The following is a 26,681-nucleotide window of genomic DNA, read 5'->3' as shown; positions in this document are numbered from 1 at the left end:
ACACCTATATATTTATATATGATGTATATATAAATATATACACCTATATATTTATATATAATGTATATATAAATATATACACCTATATTTTTATATATGATGTATATATAAATATATACACCTATATATTTATATATGATGTATATATGATAAAAATAGATGTATTATGTATGTGTAAGTATATATTTATATAATATTAAAATAATAGTTTATAAGATATGTATTTATATAATATATCTTATTTATATATTATATTAATATATTATATAAAGGTGTCACTACATATTTATGTATATAATTATATGTAAATCTATGACTACATCTTTATATATATTTGTAAGTATATTACTATCCATTAATATACATGATTATATAGGAACATATATTTAATATATAACTCTATAATATATATAACTATGATATAATATATAACTATAATATAATATATATATATTATAGAATATATAACATATGTCATATAATATATAAATATATAATATATCCCTATATATTATATGACATATATTACATAATATATAGTTATATACTGTATAATTTATATAATTATATAATATACAATTACATAATTATATAATTGTATAGTACATAATTATTATAAAATTATGTTACATAAGTATATTATATAATTATATTATATAATAATGATATAATTATATTATCTATATAATTACATAATCATATAAAATTATATTATATATAATTATATATGTAATATATAATTATATTATGTAATATAATTATATATAATTGTTTTATAATATAATTATATTTTATAATATAATTATATATATAATTATATTTTATAATATAATTTTATAATATACTTATATAATATATAATTTTATAATATACTTGTATAATATAATTATATTTTATAATATACTTGTATAATATAATTATATTTTATAATATACTTGTATAATATAATTATATTTTATAATTTACTTGTATAATATAATTATATTTTATAATTTACTTGTATAATATAATTATATTTTATAATATACTTGTATAATATAATTTTATAATATACTTGTATAATATAATTTTATAATATACTTGTATAATATAATTATATTTTATAATATACTTGTATAATATAATTATATTTTATAATATACTTGTATAATGTAATTATATTTTATAATATACTTGTATAATGTAATTATATTTTATAATATACTTGTATAATGTAATTATATTTTATAATATACTTGTATAATGTAATTATATTTTATAATATACTTGTATAATGTAATTATAATATATAATACATTATATAACATATAATATATAATACATTATATAACATATAATATATAATACATTATATAACACAATATATATTTATATTATACATTGTATAATATATAATATATTATAAGTATATATTATATAATATATAAATATATATTATGTGAAATATATATAAATATATAAATATATATTATATAAAATATATAGAAATATAAATATGTAAAAATATATTGTAAATATATAAATATATATCATATAAAATTATATATATTTATATATCATATAAAATCATATATATTTATATATCATGTAAAATATGTATTTATAGACAGTATATAAAATATATATATTTATTGTATAGTTATATAAGTATATATAAAATATAAATGTAAAAAATATATATAAAATATAAATATATTACAAATATATAAATATATAAAAATATATAACTATATGTAAAATATATATATTTATAAATATAAAAAATATAAATGCATAATATATAAATATATATAAATATATAAATATGTGTATATATAAATATTTGTATTTGTATATATTTTTTATATTTATATTTTATATATATACCTACATATAAAAAACTCTGGTATATGTGTATATATATGTGTGTATGTATATATATATATACACACACCTTCTCTTACATGTATAACATATATGAAGGTGTATATATATATAGGTATATACATAAAAATATACATAGAGTATATATAAATATACCTATATATACCTATATACATAAAGGTATATATATGTATATATACACACACACACATATATATATTTACACGCACACATATATGTACATATACCAGACTTTTTTGAGGGGGAAATTTTTTGTTAATTCTATTTCTTTCACAGCAATAGCGTTATTTGGAGTCTTATGTTTTGTGTTGACTTTAGTATGTGTATTTTTCAAACAATTGATTAATTTTATTTAAGAGATTGATTGTTCTTGTAACATTTGTTTTAATCTTTTAAATGCCATTTTAATCTCTAGTGAGATACCCTATGTTATTCATGACATTGCTAATTTGTGTTGTTTCTCTTTTTTTCTTTGGTCAGTCTTGATATGGGTGTATCAATTTATTATTCTTTTGAGGAGCTATTGGCTTTTTTGTTATACCTCTTACTACATTTTTAGTGGCTGCTCTAAGAATTATAACATACTTCCTTAATTTATTACAGCATATTTAGAATTAAAGATTTATAGAAAATGAAGGAATCTCTCAATAATTTCATTTAATCCATGTTTTTGTCATGTATTTTACTTCTGCATATGTTATTAACTTCACAATAAAATGTTACCAAGCAGTCAGTTGTCTATTAAAGATTGTTAGGAGAAGAAAAAACATACATAGTCTTGCATAATTACCCGTATATTTACCATGTTAGTCATCTCCATTTCGTGTTGTAGTTCTGATTTTTTATCTGGTATTATTTTCATTCTATCTGAAGAGTTTTCCTTATTTCTCGTAGTACAAGTTTGCTGGCAAAGAATTATTTCAGCTTCGTTACCTGAAAATGTCTTTAATTTTGTCTCATCTTTGAAAACCATTTTGGCTGAATGTAGAATTCTGGATTGTAGTGGGCTGAGTCGTATCCGCCTAAAATTCATGTGACCTGGAACCTCAGAATGTGACTTTCTTCGGGAGTAGTTTCTTCGCAGATGCACCTAATTGGGGATCTGCAGATAAAATCATCTTGGATTTAAGATGAGCCCCAAATCCTATGACTGACTTCCTTATCAGAAGAGGAGGGGATGCAGAGAAATACACAGAGAACACCATGGGAAGATGGAGGCAGACATGGGAGTGAGGTGTCTATAAGCTAAGGAATGCCAAGGATTGCTGGCAATCACCTGGAGCTAGGAGAGAGGCATAGAACGGCTTTTCCATTATTCCCTCCAAAAGGAAGCAACCCTGCCAACACCTTGGTTTGAGATTTCTGCTTCCAGAACTGTGGCCATCTGTTGTGTTAAGCCACCCAGTTTGTGGTAGTTTGTTACGGTAGGCCTAGGAAATGAATTCGTTGCTCTAAAGAGTTTTGTTTGTTTGTTTGTTTTATCTCTGAGTGCTTTTAAATGGTTACACCTTTTTTTTTCTGATCATCATTTTTTCTGATTTGAGACAGCTGTAATTTATATAATAATCCCTCTGTATATAAAGTATCATTTCCCTTTGGCTGCTTTTCAGCAGGCTTGGTTTTCAGCAGATTAAAAAAAAATCCTACTATGATTTTTTGCATTTATATTTTTAGGTATTTTCTGAGCTTCTTGGGTGTGTAGGCTTACAATTTTTGCTATATTTGAGGGAAAATTCAGAAATTATTTCTCCAAATTTTTTTCTCCTGAATTATTCTCTATCTTATTTTTCCTGAGGTTTTATTGTAATATATTACACTATTTTAACACCTCACAAGTCACTGAGGTTTTTGTTTTCTAAAAAGTCTTATTTTGCCTCTTCTTGAGATTGGATACTTCCCATTCATGATCCTTTATTTTTCAATATCAAATCTGCTGTTAAGCCCAACCTATGATTTTTTTTTTCTTTCAGGGTTATGGTTTTCAATTCTTTCAAAGTTGTAGTTTTCATTTCCATTTGGTTCTTTTGTTATTATAGCTTCTATTTTTTCTGTGGAGCTTTGCCATATGTTCTCTCATTGTAGCTTCCATAAGTACTTGAGAACATACTTACATCAGCTTGTTTCATTTTCTGCAAATTCTAATAACTGGATCATTTTGATATCTGTGTCTTCTGACTTCTTTTGCTTGATTATGGGTCTCATTTGCCTCCTTCTTTGACTATCTCACAAATTTTTATTTTATTTTGGACAATTGTTGATGATACATGGTAGGGGTATTGAGTTATGTTTTTAAAAAGTGCTTGTTTTTTCTTTCAGAATACAGGTAAAGAATGATGGATTTTATTGATCATGTCAGGCTTGGGTTTATTCTTTGTTTGGATGATCTATTTTAATTTTAGACATAGGGAAAATCCCTCAAAATAGGGCATGGGGTGACTCTTAATGTGGAGCCTTCCTGAGATCTCAAATGAATGAGCAAGTTGTTCACCAAGACTTCTTCACTCTAACCTGGATTGGTCCTCCAGTATATTCTGGCATTGAATGACCTATGGCATTTTCATTTAGGTCTCTGCCCTGCATCAGCTTCTCTCTTTTGGGATTCACAGGGTCTCATTTTTCACGTGTGTAGCCAGTCTTTGATGAGGTCTCGTTGGGTAAAGAGGCTTCTGAGTACCCTCCACACTGCAGCTTTGTCCTGTCTAGTAACCTACACCAAAATTTCAGCCATTTCAGAAGCTCTCTTCACTAACTGATTCTTTGGTTAGCAAGACTGCCATACTCTGCCTGGTCTCCAGCACCGTAGACAGGGGTGTACCCTCAGACCTAGAACATTGGCACATGTGCTCTCTCTCTGTGCTTCTCTCATTTCAAAGCTCACAATACTGAGCTGCCTATGGTCCGATTCTTGAAGACAACTGCTTCATGTGTTGTGTCCACTTCAGAGTTATTTGCATCAGGTGGGCAAGTCTTATGCAGCTATTCTTTCATGGCAAGAATCTAGAGAACTAAAATTCTTATTTTTTTCTCTGATAATTATTATAGTAGTCTTTTATTTAATGGACAAAATATGTTCTCTTACTTCTGTGGAGGTATAAATGATCATTTGCTTGTTTATTTAGCTCCTCCCTACATTTTCTTTCTTTCCTTGTGTATTAGTCCATTCTCACACTGCTATAAAGAAATACCTGAGACTGGGTAATTTATAAAGAAAAGAAGTTTAATTGGATCATGGTTCCGTGGGCTGTGCAGGAAGCATGGCTGGGGAGGCCTCAGGAAACTTACAATCATGGTGGAAGGGAAATATAGGCAGGTCTTACATGGGCAGAGCAGAAGGAAGAGAGGAAAGGGGGAGGTGCTACACACTTTTAAACAACCAGATCTCATAAGAATTCATTCATTATCATAAGAACAGCAAGGGGGAAACCTGCCCCCATGATCCAATCACTGCTTACCAGGCCCATCCTCCAACACTGGGGACTACAATTTGACATGAGGTTTGAGTGGGGACACAAGTCCAAACCATATTACGTTGGTATTTCCTTTTGACTTTTTTTAAAAAATATATTTATTTTGGTTTCTGACTTAAGAGGTTACCTCAAATATATAGGTAAAAAATATTCAAAAAGCTGTCTGGAAACTTCGTTGCAAAGACAGAAGTTGTTCAGTGATATAATTCACCATAAAGTGATTGACTAGGGGAATTAGCTGCTTATTGATGAACTTCCAGAGGTCAGTAGGTGTGGGTCTATTGTACTTCAGAGAGGATTCCTTTAAATCTGTTAATGTGGAAAAAAAACAAGAACTGCTATCTAATTGGAGCAAGCATATGTTTTCTATCTCTGTTCATTCAGTATAGTCTCTATCGTACCAAATACCAGGGCTTATAAGCGTGGGTGTCAGTGCTCTGTAAAGTGAGTGAGTATATTCTGATTATCCCCACTGTTTGACTGAAAGATTTCACTTGTTTCTTCCCATGTTCAATACTGTGTTTCACTTCTGCAATCAGCTATAACTGACAGTTACTCTTGTGTTCAAATTGTTTAGATAACAGACTATTTTTGGCAAAGGTAGAGGAGGTGTAATCACCTTGCTATGTGGGCTAAGGAAGGCGTCCTGAAGTGTGGGGCACCTTATAAATATTTTCAATCATTTATTTTTGGCGCCATACTATTTTCAAGCCTTAAGACATAACTGGCTCTTCCTATTTCCATGGCACTCTGTAATGCAGAGAGGTGAATCGTCTTTCTTACTGAATTTTCTCTGAAGGAAAGTTTCCATCTTCTGTGTACAGCTACATCAACAACTGTTAATGTGTCTACACTCCATCTACCAGAATAGTGGAGTCAGTTCAGGTGGATTGTTGCCTCCTTTTTAAATAGCTTTAAAAAAAAAAAAACGCTTTTACACATATTTTAGTGAGATTTCAAGAGGGCATAGCAATGAACATGTGCATTCTGTCTACTACATTCAGCAAAAACAACATTATTGTTTTAGAGTAGAGTGAAAGTAAGACTGTGAGGCATAGACAGAGAAGGATGTAATCAAAGGTGGTTCTTTAAAATTTTTATTTAAGCTTATTCTTCCAACAATATCTTGTTCCCACACTCACTCCTCCATATATTAGAACCTGGTTATGCCTCTGTCTAGCATCAGCATCTCTTGCCTTTCACTCTGTATCTATAGAACTTTAGTGAAAATAAGCTGTTAGCGTCCAATGGCCTTAAACAAACACATTGTATCCCTGTTACCAGGTCATAAAGGCAAGAGTGGGAGTGGCAAGGAGAGAAAAAGTGAACAGGTGTGACGGGAAGGGAGGTCATTTTCCCTGTACATTCTGAGCTGCACATTAGTCCAGGCTCCCTCCAATTTGCAGACATATTAGTGGCAGCCTTGCCATTTCCAAACATTAAAACACAATTTGCAGGGCTCTCTCTTGTCTTTCCTGACTTTATTTCAACAAGATAAACCCATCTGGAAACACCCTTGAAGCAATGTTCTTCCTGCCTCATTACAGCTACATCAACACTTCAGCATTCTGGGACTGCTCTGCTTGCCTCCCCCTTCTCTGCCAGAGCGTCTCATAGCCAATTAAATCCACTGTAACTCAGCTCTGAGGCCTAGTCTTTGCTCCCTTATTGCTTTTCAATAGCTTGAAATCTACTCAGCTGAAAAACCAAACTGATAATCAGGCAGGAATCATCACTGGAGTGAGAAATTATTGAAGAACCGTGCAACGCTGAAGACTGCCCCATTGGAATGTGGCCCTAGATGTAAAATGAGCCTTTTTAGTACCCATCTAAGAGCAGTCATGACTTCCTATCCTCAGGTGCTCTCTTTGTTTTTTAAATCCCAGAGCTCTAGAGTGACATTTAGCTGCTGCGCAGGGACTCCTTTTGTCCCTTGCCATCTCACACCAGAATTGTGTAAATGTTTGTCTCAGCATCCAAGAGGAAAAGGAGTAACAAAAGCCCCAAATGTAAGGCTCAGTGATAACATCTGAAGTCAGCTGTCAGCTTGCAGCTCCCTAACTCTTCACCCGTCAGCTCTGCTTCCTCTGCAAGTCCCAGCTTAATTATATTTTCATATTTATACAATGCCCCAACTATCACTCCTTCACCCTAGCGCCCTTCTCCAACTACCTGGAGAATGTCAGAAGTGAAATGGATATTGTAGATCATCAGTTTAAGTCTTTCATTTTAAAGAATTAGAGAAAACACAAGCAATGACTTTTCTAGGATAACATAGAAAGTCTATGCTCTGGCTAAGGTAGGAATGTGCACCCCATGCCTAGGGCGGGAACTTGGGGGAGGTATGTGAGGCACTCGGGCACAAAACGTAAGAGAGAACAAATAAACCCAGAAATTAAGATAACTAATATTTTAATGCAATATTTTTTAAAAAGCAAAATTAGTGCAAAACACTCCTTGAAGAACAAAATATCATAATATGAAATAAAGGCAGAGTCTAACAGGGCTAAGATTGGGGGGAGGTGAGTGAGGCAGGCCTGCATAAGCACAGGGCTGGACCCTGATTTTACTTAAAATTTTGATATTTTGTTCTTTATGGATTTATTTTGCATTTTAATTTTTAAAATACCACATTAAAGTATTATTTTCTAGATTACTGACATTGTGTCCCCTTCAATTTTGCTCCCAAGTTGAGTGCTTACTTGCTTTACATTAGCCCCAGCTCTGTTTCTGATTCTCAAACTAGTTCTACTTCTGAGCCCATTTTGCCTGACTTTTCCATGTCAATCTTCTCACTTTGAATCTCTTGATTCTGCCGTCATTGGTCTCACAACTTTTACTCTTCCTACTGAACCTGACTTACTTGTTTATTTGGACCTTGGTTATACAGGTTTCTATATGGCTTGGCTACCTGCTTACTGAACCCTACCTCTCCTCAAATATGGGGCTGTTTCTGCTTCTCTGGTTACTGCTGTATATATAGGAGCTTAAAATCTCCAGAATCCACTGTTGTGTCACCACAGAAAGAAAAACAAAATTGCCAATTCTAAAAGCTGTTACCTTTTTGCTAGGCCATGCTAACTAATGGAATGGGGTAAAGAACCAGAAAACCAAACACAGAAAGTAAGATATGTGTTAGAAATGCATCTGTTCTGTACTAAAATTCTAGTTTATTTTAGATAAATATAATTTCCCGACACAGACCAAATGAGGTCTATTTCCAGGCTCCTTGATCTTCACGTTGCATTATTTTGACTTGCCTCTTTGGATGTTCCAAAATTTTGATAATTGAATAATAGTAGTTAAATTATAAATTAAGGAGGTTTTGAAATCATTTTTGCTCAATGCCCTAGACTTCATTCTTCACGTCTAACATTCCCTTAGGTAATACAGCTATTATACCATGGAGCGTTTGAAGAATACATTTTTTAAATAGTCAACCTACTGCCACCTTCATCGTGATAATTTATGTTGTTAACAAATATTTACTTTAGGAATTCAGGTTATGTTTGGATATGGAAGTTTTCATTCACATACTCTATTGGGGGGGGATATGTGTGGTTATCTGGAGGATTGGCCAACTGTGCCAAAGGATGATGATGGTTGTGTAAGATGAGGATCTTCTACTGGAATTGAGTAATATCGAGTTGGAAAAGGCCCTTACATCATAATTTTTTATTGTTAATGTAATTTGAAGGTAATGTAACTTTTTATCTTCTTCCTTGTCCCCCAAGACTCATGTCAAAGACCATAGGAAAAAGATCAAGAGTGAGTCAAAGAGCCTGATTAACACATACCCTTAGATATTGATTAATCAGAGCCTAAAGACAAAGTACACAGGATATACTGCATAGTGATGACGTCTAATCTTTTAGTGTAACGAGCACCCAAATAATGTGCATTGTACCCATTAATTAATTTCCCATTCCTCACCTGCCCCCCATCCTCCTACTGTTCTGAATCTCCAGTGTCTTACTATTCCACACTCTATGTCCAGGTGTACACATTATTTAGCTTAGGGGGCCCATATTTTTTGGTTAAATTACTATGCCATTTTCTTAAGCAATTCTGCTCAAAATATCAACTCTTTGTTACAAGTCTGCAATAAAATAAGAAACTTGTGTTAGTATGTAAGTCAATAACATAACTGAGCACACTGCTTTGTCCAGATGGTTATTTTTCTTAGCTAGACTTTCTCAGTGAAGAAAGCAGTATTTTGAACTCCACTGTCGTGCAAGCTCCTTATCTCCTTGTGTACTACAACATTGAGTAATATTGATAGAATTATTGTCTGTATCTGTACACTTGAAGCTGACTCACCACCACTATTTCTGTGTTCCATTCTATGGAAAGATGTTTATGGCATACAACTTCCTTCTAAGAGCCCCAGAAGTGTCCATATTACTTCTGATCACTTCTCTTTGACCACAATTTAGTCACACTGCAACACCTAGACGCAAGGGAAGCTGGGAAATGTAGTCTCTAGCTAGGTGCTATGTGCCCAGCCACACCTTGAGTCCTAATACTAAAAGGAATAAAGAAAAATGGATATGGAGGACAATTAACGGCCTCTGAGACACCAGATTTTACTCCCTTACTGTTGTGCCATGAAATGGCTGAAACCAGTAAGGTCCTGGAAACCAAATTTATAACATAAGTAAAATGAAAATGTGCAATAGAAAAAAATGTCTCTTTTGGGGAAATTAAGAAGGTACAATAAATAACATCTCTCTGTATTTTTCTAAAGTTATAAACCATTTGAAAATAAGCCAAATAATACAAACAAGAGGTCATATATCAACTTTATTACTGAAAAAGAATATATTGGAGAATGTGGCTTTATTTGTGGCAAATGTACTTTCAGCAAATAACCTCAGAATAAGAAGACATATCCATCCAGTGAGAGGCATGGCTGGACTGTTAGTGTCCCATACACACCCAACACCTCCCGCATGCCATCCCCAACCCTCCTACCCACCGCAGGGCATTTCCTATTATGCCTATTGAAAGACTGGGCAGACTTCAGCACATGATCTCTGAAGACAACATTATTTTCGAAAGAGAAAAGAAGAAACTGAGATGAGCTCACTCATTTTATTCCTTCTTAGCTTTCCAGTGAAATCAGTCACTTCTTCTTTGGAGAGGACTGCTTGATAGGCAGGAATGTCAGTAATGTTACATTAACAATGCCCTCCACCTGGAAGGAAACACTGGAAGTGGAGAAGAGGCATTCCTCACCCCTCACATTGCCCAGCTTTTTGTTCTCTTAATGTATTGCATTGGGCTTAACCATTAGGCTTATGACCAATCTGTGGGATCACTATCTCCTTCATGTAAGCAGATCCACCATCTCTAAGGATAGTCTTGTTTTTTTACTTTCATGAAGATATTTTAAAATTATTAACCACTATTTTAAAAAAATATATTATCCTAGACCCACCAGTGGGCAGTACAGCTATTGACCCCAGAAGGCTCTGAAGTTGGTCCAAACCACACATTAACTGATTTCATTTCAAGGCAATTATTTTCCACTCAAATTTATTCAGCTGTTTTGCTCAGCATAGTCAATTCATGGGTTATTTAAAGAGATAAAGTAACAATATTACAATAATTTAATAATAAAATGCCAAGCTAGAAGTGCTGCAAATTTAGATACAAATGCTTCTCAAAATAGGGTGACAAATAAAGGTGGAAATATAAATCTCTTTGTAGGTTGAAGTCCAATGACATTAAAGTTCAAAGGAATTAAATTTGAAAATCAAATTATTTGACTGCCTTCATTATTTCCTCTCCAAGTTAATATTCAGCTTAATCTCAGCCAGAGGGATTATCCATGCCTGGCTGGAGTTAGGATTCCTTCAGTAGCTGAAGCCAGGCAGGCTTCCACAGGAATGATTGTGAGTCCTTTGGGAACTTAGAAGCTTTATTTGTTCAATGCGAAGCTCTTATAAGCCTCTCTTTTGAGAAATCCAAAGAGGTAACAGAACATGCATGATCATCACAGCACTGGCTCACACCCAATAAATTTTGAAAATGATCCAATTCCCAGACCCTAGAGAAACTATCTCAGATAAAATTATGTACTTAATGTTGCCAAGAATTACAGCAGGGACTTGATGGAGTCTATATAAAGGAGGAAAAATGGAGAAAAGGTTTTTTGTTTTGGGCTAGAGACAATGCCAGTCATCTGGTACCTTGTCCAAAAATCTATGACCTGTGCTTTGTAAACTCAAAAATGAGGTTAATTTTAGCATTATTGATTTACTATATGGGGTGGGAGGAAATCACTGAGACAAACTGTCTCCTCTCTTGCATGTTGCATTTAAGGCATTGCTGCCTTCTTGGAAATTTAGAAATATATATTTATATCCCCTGTCATAATGGAGATGCATTTTCCCTACCATCTGAGTACCTTGGAAAACCTCTTTATTGCCATTTCTCTTTTCCCTTGGAGCCCAGTGTTTCCATCTCCTAGTGCTGAAATGAGTATGGGCTGTGTCTAGTGATATAGCACCAATACTCCTCTACATGTAAATATAATAGTTTCAGACTTGATCCAATGTTCTTGTGGCACAAAATTGCTTAGGCTTAAAAGCCCTCCCCCTATGAAGGGGAGGGGTTCTTCTTTATATGAAATTAACCTATCCTGATCCACATTTTCTCAGGCTACTATCGTCTGGTTGAGGTTCCTCCAGCCCATATCTTTGGTAATTGTGGCTGGTGCCTTTGTGGATGTCTGAGTGCCCCTATCCTCTGTCTTTGCTGAACCTGAGACCTAAAACTTTTTCTTGAGGTCCTTTGCCTGTACCTTTCCTGGGCTTGATGTCTATCCATTTCAAGAGTTACTGAGGCCCACAACACACACCTTTGCTGGGCACTTGCTTTTCCTTAAAATAAGCAGATACATAACATTGTTTTCTTAAGGCAGAGCATGTTTAGTTCCCTCTATAAAAGCATAAACCACTTGCTTGAGGTCAAAGCTGCCTTAAACTGTCTTAACCCATAATGCACAAATTCCCACTTCCATTTACCTTAGGCCTAACTCCCTCTGTCCTGGTTAAAACAGTTAAAAGTTAAAATAATACCTATAAAAACTGGCTTCATTGTTTCCTGCAGGCTACTGAAGTCTTTGCCTTGGGCATATCAAAATGCTCAGGTAGTTCGCATGTGTTTTGCCCCAAACCACATTTCACCATCTATGTCCCAACTGTCCTGATCAATGTAGTATATTATAATACTTCTTGGTAAAAACTTTCTTTCACCCCTCCATACCCCACAGGAATAGAGCCTGACCCTATAAACCCTAAAGAGTGAAGGAGTTGAGCGGAGTGTGTGAGCAGTTTTCTCTTGAGGGAAAAGTAAATGAACATGAACTGGGAACATGTACATGATTCCTCTCTCAAATTCAGTCGTCATCGAAGAGCGATAGCATGAACAAAGGCCAAGGGTTTCAGGAGTGTTCCCTTTTTATGAAAGGCAATCTCCAGAGTGGAGAATTATCATTCTCCTCTAAAAACAGTCTGCCCTTCCCAAGCACAGTAATCATTTTTTTTTTTTTTATTGAGACACATTAACAGATGATGTTTACCTGAGATCTTGAAATTGACTAATAGTTGTGGCATAGTTGCAATAGGCTGTAGGTTATGCACACTGCTGATTCTCTGGTACAGTGGTTCTCAACTGAGGGTGATTGTGCCTCCTTCTAGGGGACATTGGATGTGTCTGGAGACATTTTTGGTTACAACCTGAGGCCCATGCTAGCAGGTAGAGGGCAAAGATGCTGCTAAACATCCTATAATGCACAAAACAATCCCATATAACAAAGAATTATCTGGCTGAATATGTTAACAGTGCTAACTAAGGCAGAGAAACTCTGCCGTAGATATAACTTTAGTTGTTTGTTTCCAAGTCAAGGAAACATATTGGGATGCAAGTGAGCGAGAAAGCTGTTAATATATAGATAACATTGAAACTCTCCTGAAAATTTTTTTAGTGAAATAAGTAATTTATAAATTACGGTGGTCTGTTGTGCTACAACATATGTTTTTGTAATCTGAATTAAATTAGTCCATGTGTGATTGTAAATAGAGGAATAATGCCAGGAAAATGTGGAAGCAATTTTTTTTAATTTTTTTTTCCTAGCCCATTAGTGTTTTATACCACCAAGTGGCCACAGCGGGACCCAGAAGGAGGAAGCAGGTAATACCATATGCAAGATGTATTTCTCATTGATTAATTGGTTGTTAAATAGGCTCAATTCTCTTCTCCCATCGTCTATTTATACCTATTTACAATGTCGTTTTGCACTTTGTAGCTCCTATCATGATGAACTGAAGTCTATTTCCACACCCCTTGAATATGAATTGGCTCTGTGACTTGTTCTGGCCAGTCAACAGGGGCAGAATTAATGGCCTACCAGTTTCAAGCCTAGGCCTCAAGAGACCTTCCACAATTCCATTTGTTCCATTGAAACTGTATGACCATTACATGAATAAGTCCAGACTAACCTGCTAAAGATTTAAAAATTCCTTCAAGCAGAGAATATCACACTGGAGTTCCTTCTTGGTTAGCCAGGCTACTGCTGACCTGCTGACTGATCACGAATGCAACGGTCCTTGCATCTTGCTGAGATCGGTCAAGGCTGGCCCAGGTCAGTAAAACCAGTCAGCTGACCTATAGACACACTAATAAATGGTGGTGTTTTAAGTTACTACATTTGGGGAGGTTTGATATGCAGCAATAGATAACTGATATACAAGCCATAATTTCTTCTTGGCTTATTTTTGCCACATGCTCCATTTTTGGAGGACTTACTGCACAGTTACCTTTGATTTTTGTGTGTTTTTCCCTTATCTCCAAACTTAGTAGAATCTACCATTGCTTAAACTTTATTCCATCAGATCACCTTTAGTGAGCGGTGGCTCACGCTTGTAATCCCAGCACTTTGGGAGGCCGATGTGCGTGGATCACAAGGTCAGGAGTTCGAGACCAGCCTGGCCAACATGGTGAAACCCTGTGTCTACTAAAAATACAAAAAATTAGCCAGGCGTGGTGACAGGTGCCTATAATCCCAGCTACTTGGGAGGCTGAGGCAGGAGAATCACTTGAACCCGGGAGGCAGAAGTTGCAGGGAGCCGAGACCATACCACTGCACTCCAGCCTGGGCAACAGAGCAAGAATCCGTCTCAAAAAAAAAAAAAGAAAAAAAGAAATATACAGCCATATTTAGCTATCTCTACGTATTAGGAATTTAACATGATGTTTTAACTCTGCTTGTATTTTGATAACATATTTCATTATTATTTTTGTTAGTGCGGTGGTTAAAATGTTGCATAGACTTTTGAGTGTTCTGTCCCACTCCTAGGTTTTCTATAGTCCTATTATTTTAATTTGTGATTTTATAGGATTTAAGGTATCTTAGAACTGTATGTATATGTTGCATTATAGGCAACAGAAATGCCCACATTTTTTGAGAATCATATTATTTATGCCTTACTCACAACTGATTCTTAATCACTTGTGTACCAAGACATAAGGTTAGGAATTTTGCTCAGGCCACTCTGGGGGATCAAAGAAGCACCTAAACAGAGGGCTCTGTGGATATGTTTATTTCTGTTTTGGGTGTGTGTCAACATGTGAGTGTTTGTATGTATGTGTGTATTATATGTGTGAGTTGGTAGAAAATTCAGAGAATTAATATACTGTTACAGTTTTTATAACACTAATATGTTCCCAGGATGTTTAATGCAACTTATATCAAATTATTATAAATAGTTAAAATAATAAACACTGTGATTCATAAATAGCTCTGCATTTTATCAAGGACTTTCATATCAATAGTCTCATCTTTAGTCCTCATGGAACCCCTGAGATACAGGTAATATTTTTTAATTTTTAAAAATTTGATTGTAAATCAACAAATAATTGTACACATTTTGGGGGCACAAAGTGATGTTATGATATATGTATATAATGTAGAATGTTTAAATCAAGCTAGTTAATACGTCCATCACTTGAAATACTTATTTTTTTATGGTGAAAACATCTAAAATTTACTCTTAGCAATTTTGAAATATACATTACAATAGTCAGCACGCTGTGCAATAAATCTCAAAACATTTATTTCCTCCGTCTGAAAAAATTTTCAGGGACGTCTCAGTGCTATCCATATATTAACTGCATTCCCATTCACTTGTATTTCAACATGTTTGCATGACTTGGATTACTATATATTAGTTGAAAACTTAAGGCATTTCTTTTCTAAGAGAGAAACTGAGGATATATCAATTTATAGCAAACTTCCATCTTCATATCCTTTGACCAGCATATCCTTCTTCCCCCCTGCCCCCTGCCCCCGCCAAGCCTCTGGTAACCACCACTCCACTCCTTGCCTGAGGTCAGGTTCACTTCAGTTTTTTTAGATTCCATTTCATATAAGTGAGATCATGTGGTATTTGTCCTTTTGTGCCTGGCTAATTTTACTTAGCGTAATGTCCTGCAGGTTCATTCATGCAGTCACATATGACAAAGTTTCCCTCTTTGAAATCCATTGTACAGATGAGGAAAAGGAAAGTGGACTCGGTTTAGTGCTCCAGGTAGTACATGTCAAATCGGGGATTTTTTTAAAAGATGCTTTTTTTCCTACTCCTTCACACCAAGATGCCTTCTTTCGGAAAAGGGCAAGACTGGAAATCTTAAGGCATTCCTTTTCTGAGAGAGGAAGGGAGGATAAATCAATTTATAGAGAACTTCCATCCTTACTTTATAATGTAGTGCTAGTAACAAACATAAAATTGGTAATTAGGTAGCTTTTTGTTATAGATAAGGAAATAAGACACAGGTAGCAGTCCTAAGATCAAACCATGACCAATATGAAAGCTTTCTGAATGGGGAGTTGGTTCTTTCTCACTAAAGTCTTGATCCTCTTTTATCCTCAGTGTCTCATTTTGCACATATTTTAGTAAACCTCAAGTCTTCTTGGAAAAAAATCAAGGCATAAATATGACATAAATAATGCAGCCCTACTATTTAGACAGCCCATGACACATTTTCTCTTAGAGCTAAAGACAATTCCCAAGAGTGTAGTATTTGGTCTGTGGCTACCCAACAGTGCTTCTTCAGCTCATGGCGTGATGTCCCTGCTACTGCTGGCATCCAGGCTTGGTTTCTAGGACTTTAGTTCCTGGGTACAGAACCATTCCTCTTTTCAGGATGTACCAGAGTCAGCTTTTATGTAAAAAGGAGGGATTGACTTTTGGGGAGAAAATCAAATCTAGTTGGAGTTGTCTTTGATTTTTAGATTTGGGTCTCAGATGGGTTTATTGAGATCCTGATGTTGGGGGATGAATACTGTCAGCACACTGGGTTGTTCCAACATGCAGAATGCCATGGCTGGCCACTTGCACGGCTGTGATACTCTGTAGAAAATACTCTGGCACCTCCACATGTCCCCCAGCCAGCTCAGGACACTGATGTCAATCACTTCATTACAGCATTATATGGATCACACAATCTCTCCTTAAACTTGTTATTTTTAAGCATTCATTGGGGTCATGATGTTCTGAGGTTAGTCCTTAGGCACTTTCAAATTATTAGGCAAGACAAATTATTACTGAATGTCCTCAGCTTTTACTCTGGCTGGGATCAAAGTGTTCTCCACAACTGCTTCAGCCCAGCACTCTAGCTGAAAGGAGGTCCAACGCCACAAGTGCCATTAGGTTTTGGAGCAGGCAGAAGGGGGCCAGAAAGACTTGAAAATTTTATTTTATTCTAATAGGCACAGCATGAAAAGAGACATTGAAATGGAATAATTAAAAATGCTAGGTTTAAAGCTGCCTTTTACTTCCCTTCAATATGCTGTGAATTCTCTGTTCAGGAATGATTTGTCTTCATTCCCTTCCTTCTTAACATGAGTAATTTCTCCTATTTACTGAGTCCATCCTCCACGTGACATCTTTAGTTTTTACAATGTGTCTGTAAGGCATTACTATGCTACAAATGGGCAAAACAGGCTTAGGGATGTCTGGGTAGATTTTGGCTGGTCTAGCTCAATAGGAGGTTAGATTTTAGCACATCTAGGGAAAGGAGTTAGTGAATATCTTTTAGGCACTCCTTTATGAACAGTGTTTACTTTATAAAAATATCAAAGAGCTATTATTCTGAAGTTATGTAACCGAAATGCAGGTTAGTCGCTCACCTTGTACAGAGTACAAGTAACAAGGATGGCGTCTGATATAAAGAAAGTAACCTCAGTTTCCTCATATATGAAAAGCATTGTTTAAATTACCTCATAGAGTGTGAGGATCAAATCTGATAATGAAAACAGTGCATGACACACAATAATTGCTGGCTCTTATCATCATTGTTATCAGCATTTTCCTGATTCAGTTCTTGCTCCCTTTGCTTCAGTCATGCCCAGGGCTTCTGTCCTTTGAACGTTAAAGTCTTATTTCTCTCTTTTTTTCTTTTTTTTGTTGTCTTCCATCTCTGTTTAAGGAGTTACTGTCAGTGATACTCAAACTGTGGTCACTAGACAGGTAATCTCAGCATCATATGGGGGCGTGTTAGAACTGCCAATTCTTAGGTTTGGCCCAAGACCTCCTTGATCAGAGTCTCTAGGGAAGGGGCTCAGGAATCTGCATTGTAATAAGCTTTCCAGGTGGTTCTGATGCTTGCTAAACTTTGAGAAGCACTTTTCTAAGTCAATTACACTGTTTGTTTGATTTAAAAGCCCTGAAAATGGAGACAAGATTTGGGTTCATATCCCAGCTTTGACACTCATAGGCTACATAAACTTTGGCAAATTGACTCTAGATTTTCCTTTGTAATGTGTACAGTGTTCTCTGGAGTTTCATTACTTAGGTTATAGGCTAAGCTACATGAATGAAGAAACCCAAAAAACAGTGATTTGAATACATTTATTTCTCTCTGCATAATAGTTCAGAGGTATGAAGGTAGCCCAGAGTAAGTTTGTGGCTCTTTTCTACAAGGTCATCTAAGGACTCAGGATTCTTCTGACGTGATACCCTGCCCCTCCTGAGACATTGTTTTGTTCATATAGTTGACTTGGGCTCATCGATGCTATGTCAAGCTTCTTGCCTGAGGGAAAATAGAAAGGGAGAGAAAGGAAAACAAGTAATTTTATTTTAAAGAAGTGATGCAAAAGTTGCTCATATTACTTTTGCTCATATTCCCTTGGTGAGAACCTGGATATTTGGCTATAACTGGTGGGAGGCTGGAGAATGCGTCTATGAGCTGGCTGGCCAGCTACCTTATACAAATTCAGGAGCTGTTGGTATTCTGATGCTAGTAAAATAGATACTTATAGAAACACATAGCACAATGCTCAGCACAGAGGAATTATTCCACAAATGCTAACGTGAGATGGAATAGTGTGGTCTTGAAGAGTCAGATAGATATGAGTATGAATATGCGTTCTTGTACCTACTTAGTATTTGACTTTGAGAAGATTATTTCTTCTTTGAGATTCAATGTCCTTATTTTCTAAAGTACAAATTACATAAGGTAATAGTCTTAGCTTACTGTGTAGGTTTTAGAATGATGGAGGGTTTAGGCTACCTCCAATTCTAGATCAGAATGCATTTTGATTCCCTTAATCACAATGAGGCAGGAGATATCCTAAATGCGTCGGAATGTTTCACATGTCATTAATTCCTTATCAAACACAACTGCAAGCAACACTGCAATTACTGTGCAGCTATGGGCCCATAGCCTGAAGGTAGGGATCTTAATCCTAGGGCCCATTTGATGATTGGTGGGGTGTACATGGCAGAAATTGTGCCAACAGCCTAAAGCACAGCTTTCAGTTCCGCAGAAGGAGGAGGTGTTTCCATCATTTCATTATATTCTCTAGGGCAGAAATTGGAGGCCTGTGGTGAAATATGATTACAATTCTCTATTGTCTTATTTGGGGTATAAACAAATTCCTCTCTAATCAATTTACAGAAACAAACATAAAAAGCAAATAAGCAGCCTTCTTAGAAAGGGATTATTATACAGGATTTGCATATGTCACTTACTCTGGTGGAGCAGAAATGCAGCCATGTATTTACAAACAAGGCAAACGTATGCCCTGTTCAAGAATAGTGCTTATTATTGGAGCTAGTCCTATTTGTCTTGACATCAAAAATTCCTTTTGATACTTTTCAGTTTTCTCTTTTAGAAAAAGACAATGATTCCTGAAATCTCCAAATTAATAAAGTCAAGGACATCTTTAGGTTTCTTGCTGTCTACTTCCTTCCCTCACAAAAGACACTAGAAGCTGGAAATGGAGACCAGAGTGTTCTAGGTGTATCATAACATTGCTAAGAGCCTCGCTTCCTGGGGTTCATTTTCTCTAATTACTAAGAACAACACTAGCAGTGGAAAGAATAAGATAGGTATGAAGAAAGGAGGTTGGAGACTTTCTTAGCTTGGATCTCCTTAAGAGCAGAGCCCAAGACAGAGGCTTGCATGCAGGGGTAGATGCTTCTTAACTTGGGTTACCTCTAGATAAACCCATCATATGTTGAAAATATGTAGCTAAGAAATGCATCTTATACACCTAACCTACAGAACATTGTAGCTTAGCCGAGCCTACTTATATGTGCTCACAGCATTTACATTGGCCTACAGCCGGGCAAAATCATCTAACAACATAGAACCCCATAGAGTGCTGGTTGTTTGCCCTTGTAATTGCTTGGCTGACTGGGGGCAGTGGCTGCCAGTGACAAAGAGTAGAGTACAGTATATTGCTAGCCTGGGAAGAGATCAAAATTCAAAATTTGAAGTACAGTTTTTACAGAATGCATATGGCTTTCAAACCATCATAAAGTCAAAAATCGTAAGTCGAATCATTGTAAGTCTGGGACCAGCTGTGCTTTATTTGGAAAGTGATATTTGGAAAGTGATTCTAGGGAAGAGAAATGAGCATATCAGGGATCAGAACACGATATCCCAAAATATGGTGTCATGGCATGCTGAGTATTTCGTTAGGAAGGAGATTGGTAGGCCTTAGAAGAAAGGTCACTCTGACCTTCTCATGCTCTCCCTTCTTCCTTTCCCCACGCTCCCCCAAGATGTGTCAAGAATTTTTCTCCCCACCTCAGATTATAGAAGTTAGAACTCCTCTCCCTCAAAGTGAACCATAAAACCTAGAAACGTCACTCTCTGGCCTACCTTCCCTGAAAGCAGGTCATGAGGGTCTTGTTCTAGAGTTCCTGCCCCATATGCTGAGAGAGGAATGCCACATAGAGAGCCCAAGAATAATCTGAACAAGTAGGCCTTGCTTGGTCTCCTCGCAGTTGATTACTATTAGATTCTACTTTCTTTGTCCAATCATGCTTCTTCACAACTTTTCACTTTTTTCATCAGACTTAGAATAAAAGCACACAGTTTTCCCTGGGTATGGGGGTCACATAAAACCCTGGTTAAATAAACTTATGGGTTTTTTTTTCTGTTAATCTGTCTTTTGTTACAGGACTGTCATCCGTGACCCTTATGACGGATGAGAAAAAGTTATTACCTTATTGCCCCTATGGGGGGTGAGGGGAGAGAAGCAGGAAGTAGAGAAAGGCAATCCAAATATGTATGATCCCATTGTCTACTGTGACAGGCAAAGAAGCTTGATTCAGAGAGAACTTTTAAGGAAACTTGTGACATGAATCTTGGAACTGACCACCTAAGGGACAAAGGGGGAATCAATTTGTGGGAGTGAAAAAGTAAATATTTTTCCTCACCCACTGTAAGTTATTACTTACAGTGCTATAACAATAGACAGATTCATAAGAGAAAAGCACAGCCAATTGATTTAACAATGTTTTATGTGACATGAGAGCGTTCGGAAATGAGGACTCAAGGACCCCCCCCCAAAAAACTGCATTTTTATACTTAGGTTCAATGAGGAATGGACAGTCCTGTAGAAATGTCAGTGTACAAAAAACAGGGTGAAACTTCATGATAATAAACTGAAGGTGGGGGGAGGGAACCCAGAAAGGCCCTGAAAGGTTCAAATTCTTCTTGGCTTCTCTGTGTATCATTCCTTCTCTCCAGGTTTGGTGCAGTACTCCTCTGGAATGCGGGTCTTATGACTTACTTTCAGTTAAGGTAGATTAAAAAAAATGTTTTATAACTATGCTTTATACAGAAAAGTGGGGGTGGTCAGAGTGACCTTCTAGCTCCTGTAGCTTTTTCAATTGCTGAGTGCCATGTTTTCACATATCATGTTCTGAGCTCCCACAAATTATTAATTAGTTCCCAGACCCCAGTGGACAAGGTTGGACACGTAGGGGTTAATTATCCTGCCGTTTGGTTTCTACAGACATCTCCTACTATGGCATCTGAGAGACCATGGGGCAGGAGTGGGAGGCCATGGTGCAGGTGATAGAAGCCTGTGCTAAGCAAATCTCTGCAGCAGAGAATAGTGAAGAGGCGAGGACCCAAGAATTTAAGCTTGCATGTGAGTGGTCTCCAATGCAGATGACTAAAGGATATTTTTGTTCTTCTCACAACTTTTTGATTCTAGTGTTATGCTCTGTGTAATTTTATAATAAGAACAATAGCTACAATTTATTTGCTATTTGCTGGATGTAGTTTGAGGGACTTGTGCAACATGTTCTCATTTTATTCTTCATAATAGTCCTTTATCATGACTTTGTATCGTTGATATTTACTTACAAGTAAATATTTTCAGATAAGTTAAATAATTTACTTACTTACAGTTACAAGGTATATGCATGTATGTATGTATGTTTGTTTTTAAAAATTATTTTATTAGCTCAGAAAATATATGAACCATACTGTAGAACGGAGACTTTTAAACATTTTTGGTTTAGCACTTAGTTTTTTATGTCTGCTAATGTACTGAAGCAAGAGTTTTATAAAATTGCATTTTCTCTTTTGACATGTCTTGTTAAGAGAAAATACAATATTTTCTATTCTGTCCTACTTGTGTGTGTGTGTGTGTGTGTGTGTGTGTGTGCATACTGTTTGCTACCCATTATATTGATTTTATCACTCACTAATGAGTTATGAGGCATGACCCCACAGTGTGAAAACGGTGACCTAGAAAACCAATATTTTATAGAAAATATTCACTTTCGGATGACAGGGGTCATCTGAAGCCTCATGAATGCCTAGCTCAATGGATGATTGACAGATGATAGAAAGATTGATTGATAGATAGATGATTGATAGATATAAGAGCTAAATGTTGTGCTTATTTTATTCATTTAAGTTTGGCTTATAGTTAGCTACGGGCTTTATACAATAGCTTTAGGCTTCGTTAAACAAAAGAGTCTATAGGATAAGTCATATTGTCTACTGATACTTTAAATAATTTTAACTTTTATTTTAGATTCAGGAAGTACATGTGCAGGTTCGTTATGTGGGTATATTACACGATACTAGGTTTGGAATACGGATGATCATGTCACCCTAGTAGTGAGCATGGTACCTAACAGTTTTTCAATGCTTACCCCTCCCGCTTCCAGCAGCCTCCAGTGTCCATTGTTGACTTATTTTATTTTGTAATGGGAACTGAAATTTTGATAAATATTCTCACTTGAGACTAGAGAGGAAATATATTTCCTTTATAATTTGGATTTGCTGGATTAAAGAATAAGAGAAGAGCAAGAAGAGGAAAAAATAAATGAAAGCATGTGGAAGAGTGCACCAATGTGGAAGAGTGTGTGCCAATGTGGCTTTCATGGACTTCTTGTGGGAGTCAGATGGGGCACCCATGGGCCAGTGAACACTACTGCATGCACAGCTGCTTTGCAGCTCCCACTATGCTCCTGCTCTTTTCTTCTGCTGTGCTCCTTTTGCAGTCTGTTCAACAACAATCTTTTCACCAAATTTACTCCAACCCGCTACTTAGTATATATGATGCAATATTACTAATTATCAGAAATTCTTTCCTCTGCTTATTTTGAATATTGCCTTTACAGGTTCTGGAGGTGGAGCTGACACTTGTTTCTTCTTTCATAAACACGGGATAATGCTTTTCATCCCAGATGAAAGGGTGAGTCTTTAATGAGATAATGTGTATAGCACAGTAGGTGCCCATCACATTTTAGCTAAAAGTGTCCTTGCTTTCTGCAGTGCACCAAATCCACTTCCTCCTGCCACTGTGGTTGAAGCCTGCTCCCGGGCTCGCCTATACCTTATCTGGTCCTGCCTTCCTGAGCAGCTGATCCTCTTGATGGTGTGTGGTCACTTCCTGAAAGCTAGTGGTGGCTTTGTGAGTGCTCACAGAAAACTGAGGAAAAATTGTTCAGATAAGGCACAGAAATTTCTCAACAAGGCTGTTCCTTCTCTAGCGTGCATTTATGCAGGTCTTTCAGTAGGTATTGAGACTTGAATATGTAGAAAATCTTTCTTTTTCTATCTTTCTGTGACAACACAGCACACAAATTCCCTGAAGACCAATTAGTCACCTTTATTCAGAAATTTAGGCTGAAAAAGTAGTCTTTATCTGGAACATTTCCAAACTCAAGGGAGAGACAGAGAGGAGATGGGGAATTATGTGATGAGTCTCAAAGTTCTGGCTGTTGTTCCCACCATGATGCCATTGGTAGGAGTTCACATGCTCACCCCTGAGTTCAGCAGGGTGGATGCATCGTCCTCTCACAAGAAGGACAATCAAAGGAAGGGGATCCAGAATATTTAGCAATCATCAATGCTACTGATCAACCACCAGACACAAGACTACATTTTAACTCAAAATCATTGGATGTTCTTATGTATCTCAGCTTGTGTGCACATTTACATGAACATGGCCACCCTCATCTAGGATCAACAGCATTCCACAGCACACTTTAGGGGGTCCCACCTCTGTGTCTTTGCTCATATCATTTCCTCCTGCTGGAATGTCTTTCCTCCATGTTCAAATTTTGTAGATTTACATCAAAACAGGAATAGGAAATTCAAAAATAAATAAATACAAATAGCTAACGAAATTGTTCAACCTGACAAATAGTAAATGGAAAAAAAAAAAAACACTAAAACACAGATTCCATCTTGGGCCTAAAAAAGGCAAGCATTTAAAGAGAAACATACAGTATTGTTCAGGGGGAAGCAATACAGATATTTTCATTTACAGTAGTTTCCCCTTATCTTCAGGTAATATGTTGCAAGACTCTCACTGGATGCCTGAAACCGCAGATAGTACTGAACCCTATGTAGACCATGATAGTATGTTTTTTCCTATGCATACATACCTTTGATAAAATTCAATTTATAAATTAGACACAATAACAGATTAACAATAAATAATAATAATGTAAACAATTATATTTTAAAGGACAGACAAAGAGAGCCCACATTCACATAAATTTTATTATAGCACAGTTATATTTTTGTGGTGTACTCACCTATTTTCAGACCACAGTTAAATATAAGTAGCTAAAACCTTAGAAAGTGAAACTGCCAGTAAGGGGGGACTACTGTACTATTGCTAAGAGTTGCTATCCAGGCACTTGTTTTATGACTAAAAAGCTGGAAAGAATTGAAGTATCTCCCATCACTCTCTAGCACCTATTCCTTATACATTCATCACTACTTGATATACATGTGTGCATGCCTACAACCCCCTTTACACACACACGAACTCTTTCTTTGCTTGTTATTGTTCTTCCCAGAGAATGTAAGCTCCACAAGGACAATGACTTTATCTAGCTTGTATATTATTATACCTCCAGTCCTAGAATGTCTAACACATAGGTGGTCACATAGTAAATATTTATTAGATGAATATATGAAATGATCATCAGGAGTCTGTGTAAATAAATAATGACATATTTACATAATGATCAACTTTATAGAATTTTTAAAAAGTTATTAAAATTTTAATTTTAATGTTTTAAATGTTTTATGTTTAAATGTTTTAAAATTAAAAACATTTAAAACATGAAAAATACTTATTGTCTATAATAAAGACACAAACACAGTGGTTATCTCAGACTGATGAGCTTATGATTGATTGATAGTTTTCCTTTTTATATACATCTGCATTTTCTAAATACTTATCAATAAGCATGTGCTATTGTTATAATCAGACAAACATGTAAAAGACAAAAAGTCCTGGAAGTCCAGCTCAAATGCAACCTCTTCTATTAAATATTTCCTGAACTCTCCAATCCCTGGTGATCTTGGCCTCTACAATCCTCAGGACATAGTGACCATGTCCGAAACCATGCATAGTACTGAACCCTATACTGATTACAATACTGTGATGTTGGATTTGTGGGTATAACCCATTTGTGTCATTTAGCTGTGTTCCTCTTGGACCAACAGCTTTAGCTCCCATTGCCCTGCCCAATGCAGGGTGAAGGAATATGGTATTCTGAAAAAGGTGGAGCAATAGGAAGTTAAACAGGGAGGAAGTTAAGAGGAGAATGTGGATATACCAATACATCAACAGAAAATAAGAAACAAGATCCTGTTCAGTTCCTAAAAATGACTCCAAAAAGGTATTTTTCACTTGAAAACAGTGTAACCTTTAGCTTCGAGAGAATGTCCTAAAATTTACTGCTGGCTGCATTTGAGGTCATTGAGGCCCACCTTTAAATGAGTTCCATAAATTCCCAGGATGAAGCTCAAGACTTTGAGAGATACAAAAGAGGCCTGTGGAAAGGTAACACAGGGAAAGAAATAAGAGATGAGAGTGTTCCCTACCCCCCAGCTCCTCTGGCCACCCTCCCGATGGATCCCTGTGGTGCCAGGCAGGAATGACCTGCTTGGGGATGCAGCGAGCTCCCAGGACCTTACCCACTGCTTCCTCTACCCACGTATTTCACTCAGCTCCCCAAATTGACTCAGCTCCAGGCCAGTAGGGGAGGAGCCAAGGATGGCCGAATAGGAACAGCTCCTGTCTACAGCTCCCAGCGTGAGCAACACAGAAGACAGGTGATTTCTGCATTTCCAACTGAGCTTTGAAGAGAGTAGTGGTTCTCCCAGCATGCAGCTTGAGATCTGAGAACGGGCAGACTGCCTCCTCAAGTGGGTCCCTGACACCCGAGTAGCCTAACTGGGAGGCACCCCCCCAGTAGGGGCAGACTGACACCTCACACAGCCAGGTACTCCTCTGAGACAAAACTTCCAGAGGAACAATCAGGGAGCAGCATTTGCGGTTCACCAATATCCGCTGTTCTGCAGCCTCCGCTGCTGATACCCAGGCAAACAGGGTCTGGAGTGGACCTCTAGCAAACTCCAACAGACCTGCAGCTGGGGGTCCTGTCTGTTAGAAGGAAAACTAACAAACAGAAAGGACATCCACACCAAAACCCCATCTGTACATGACCATCATCAAAGACAAAAGGTGGATAAAACCAC

General features: G+C 36.3%; 1 protein-coding gene across 2 annotated transcripts in view, besides 3 other annotated features; it reads left to right on the top strand.

The window, feature by feature from the left end:
* Positions 1–26,681, top strand: part of RAB38 (RAB38, member RAS oncogene family) — a 371,729-nt gene that overhangs the window by 197,241 nt on the left and 147,807 nt on the right. For both annotated transcript variants that reach the window (XM_017017456.3, XM_017017455.3), the window contains exon 3: positions 23,297–23,370. In XM_017017456.3, the coding sequence (XP_016872945.1) occupies positions 23,297–23,347 (51 nt within the window). In that variant the 3' untranslated portion in view covers positions 23,348–23,370. The remainder of the gene's footprint in view (positions 1–23,296; positions 23,371–26,681) is intronic.
* Positions 5,934–6,043: an enhancer, noted in NCBI's record as "active region_5376". NCBI's record gives its function as "activates an Ori minimal core promoter by ATAC-STARR-seq in GM12878 lymphoblastoid cells {active_cell/tissue: GM12878}" and the evidence as "EXISTENCE:reporter gene assay evidence [ECO:0000049][PMID:35858748]".
* Positions 6,935–7,436: an enhancer, noted in NCBI's record as "NANOG hESC enhancer chr11:87681659-87682160 (GRCh37/hg19 assembly coordinates)". NCBI's record gives its function as "activates a minimal SCP1, AML or CMV promoter by ChIP-STARR-seq in primed H9 embryonic stem cells {active_cell/tissue: H9 hESC(primed)}" and the evidence as "EXISTENCE:reporter gene assay evidence [ECO:0000049][PMID:30033119]".
* Positions 10,344–10,865: an enhancer, noted in NCBI's record as "OCT4-NANOG hESC enhancer chr11:87678230-87678751 (GRCh37/hg19 assembly coordinates)". NCBI's record gives its function as "activates a minimal SCP1, AML or CMV promoter by ChIP-STARR-seq in primed H9 embryonic stem cells {active_cell/tissue: H9 hESC(primed)}" and the evidence as "EXISTENCE:reporter gene assay evidence [ECO:0000049][PMID:30033119]".

Source organism: Homo sapiens, chromosome 11 (assembly GCF_000001405.40).
Source record: "Homo sapiens chromosome 11, GRCh38.p14 Primary Assembly".
NCBI classification, from domain to species: domain Eukaryota; kingdom Metazoa; phylum Chordata; class Mammalia; order Primates; family Hominidae; genus Homo; species Homo sapiens.
Note: the sequence above shows the minus strand (reverse complement) of the source record. Positions and strands in the feature narration are given on the sequence as shown.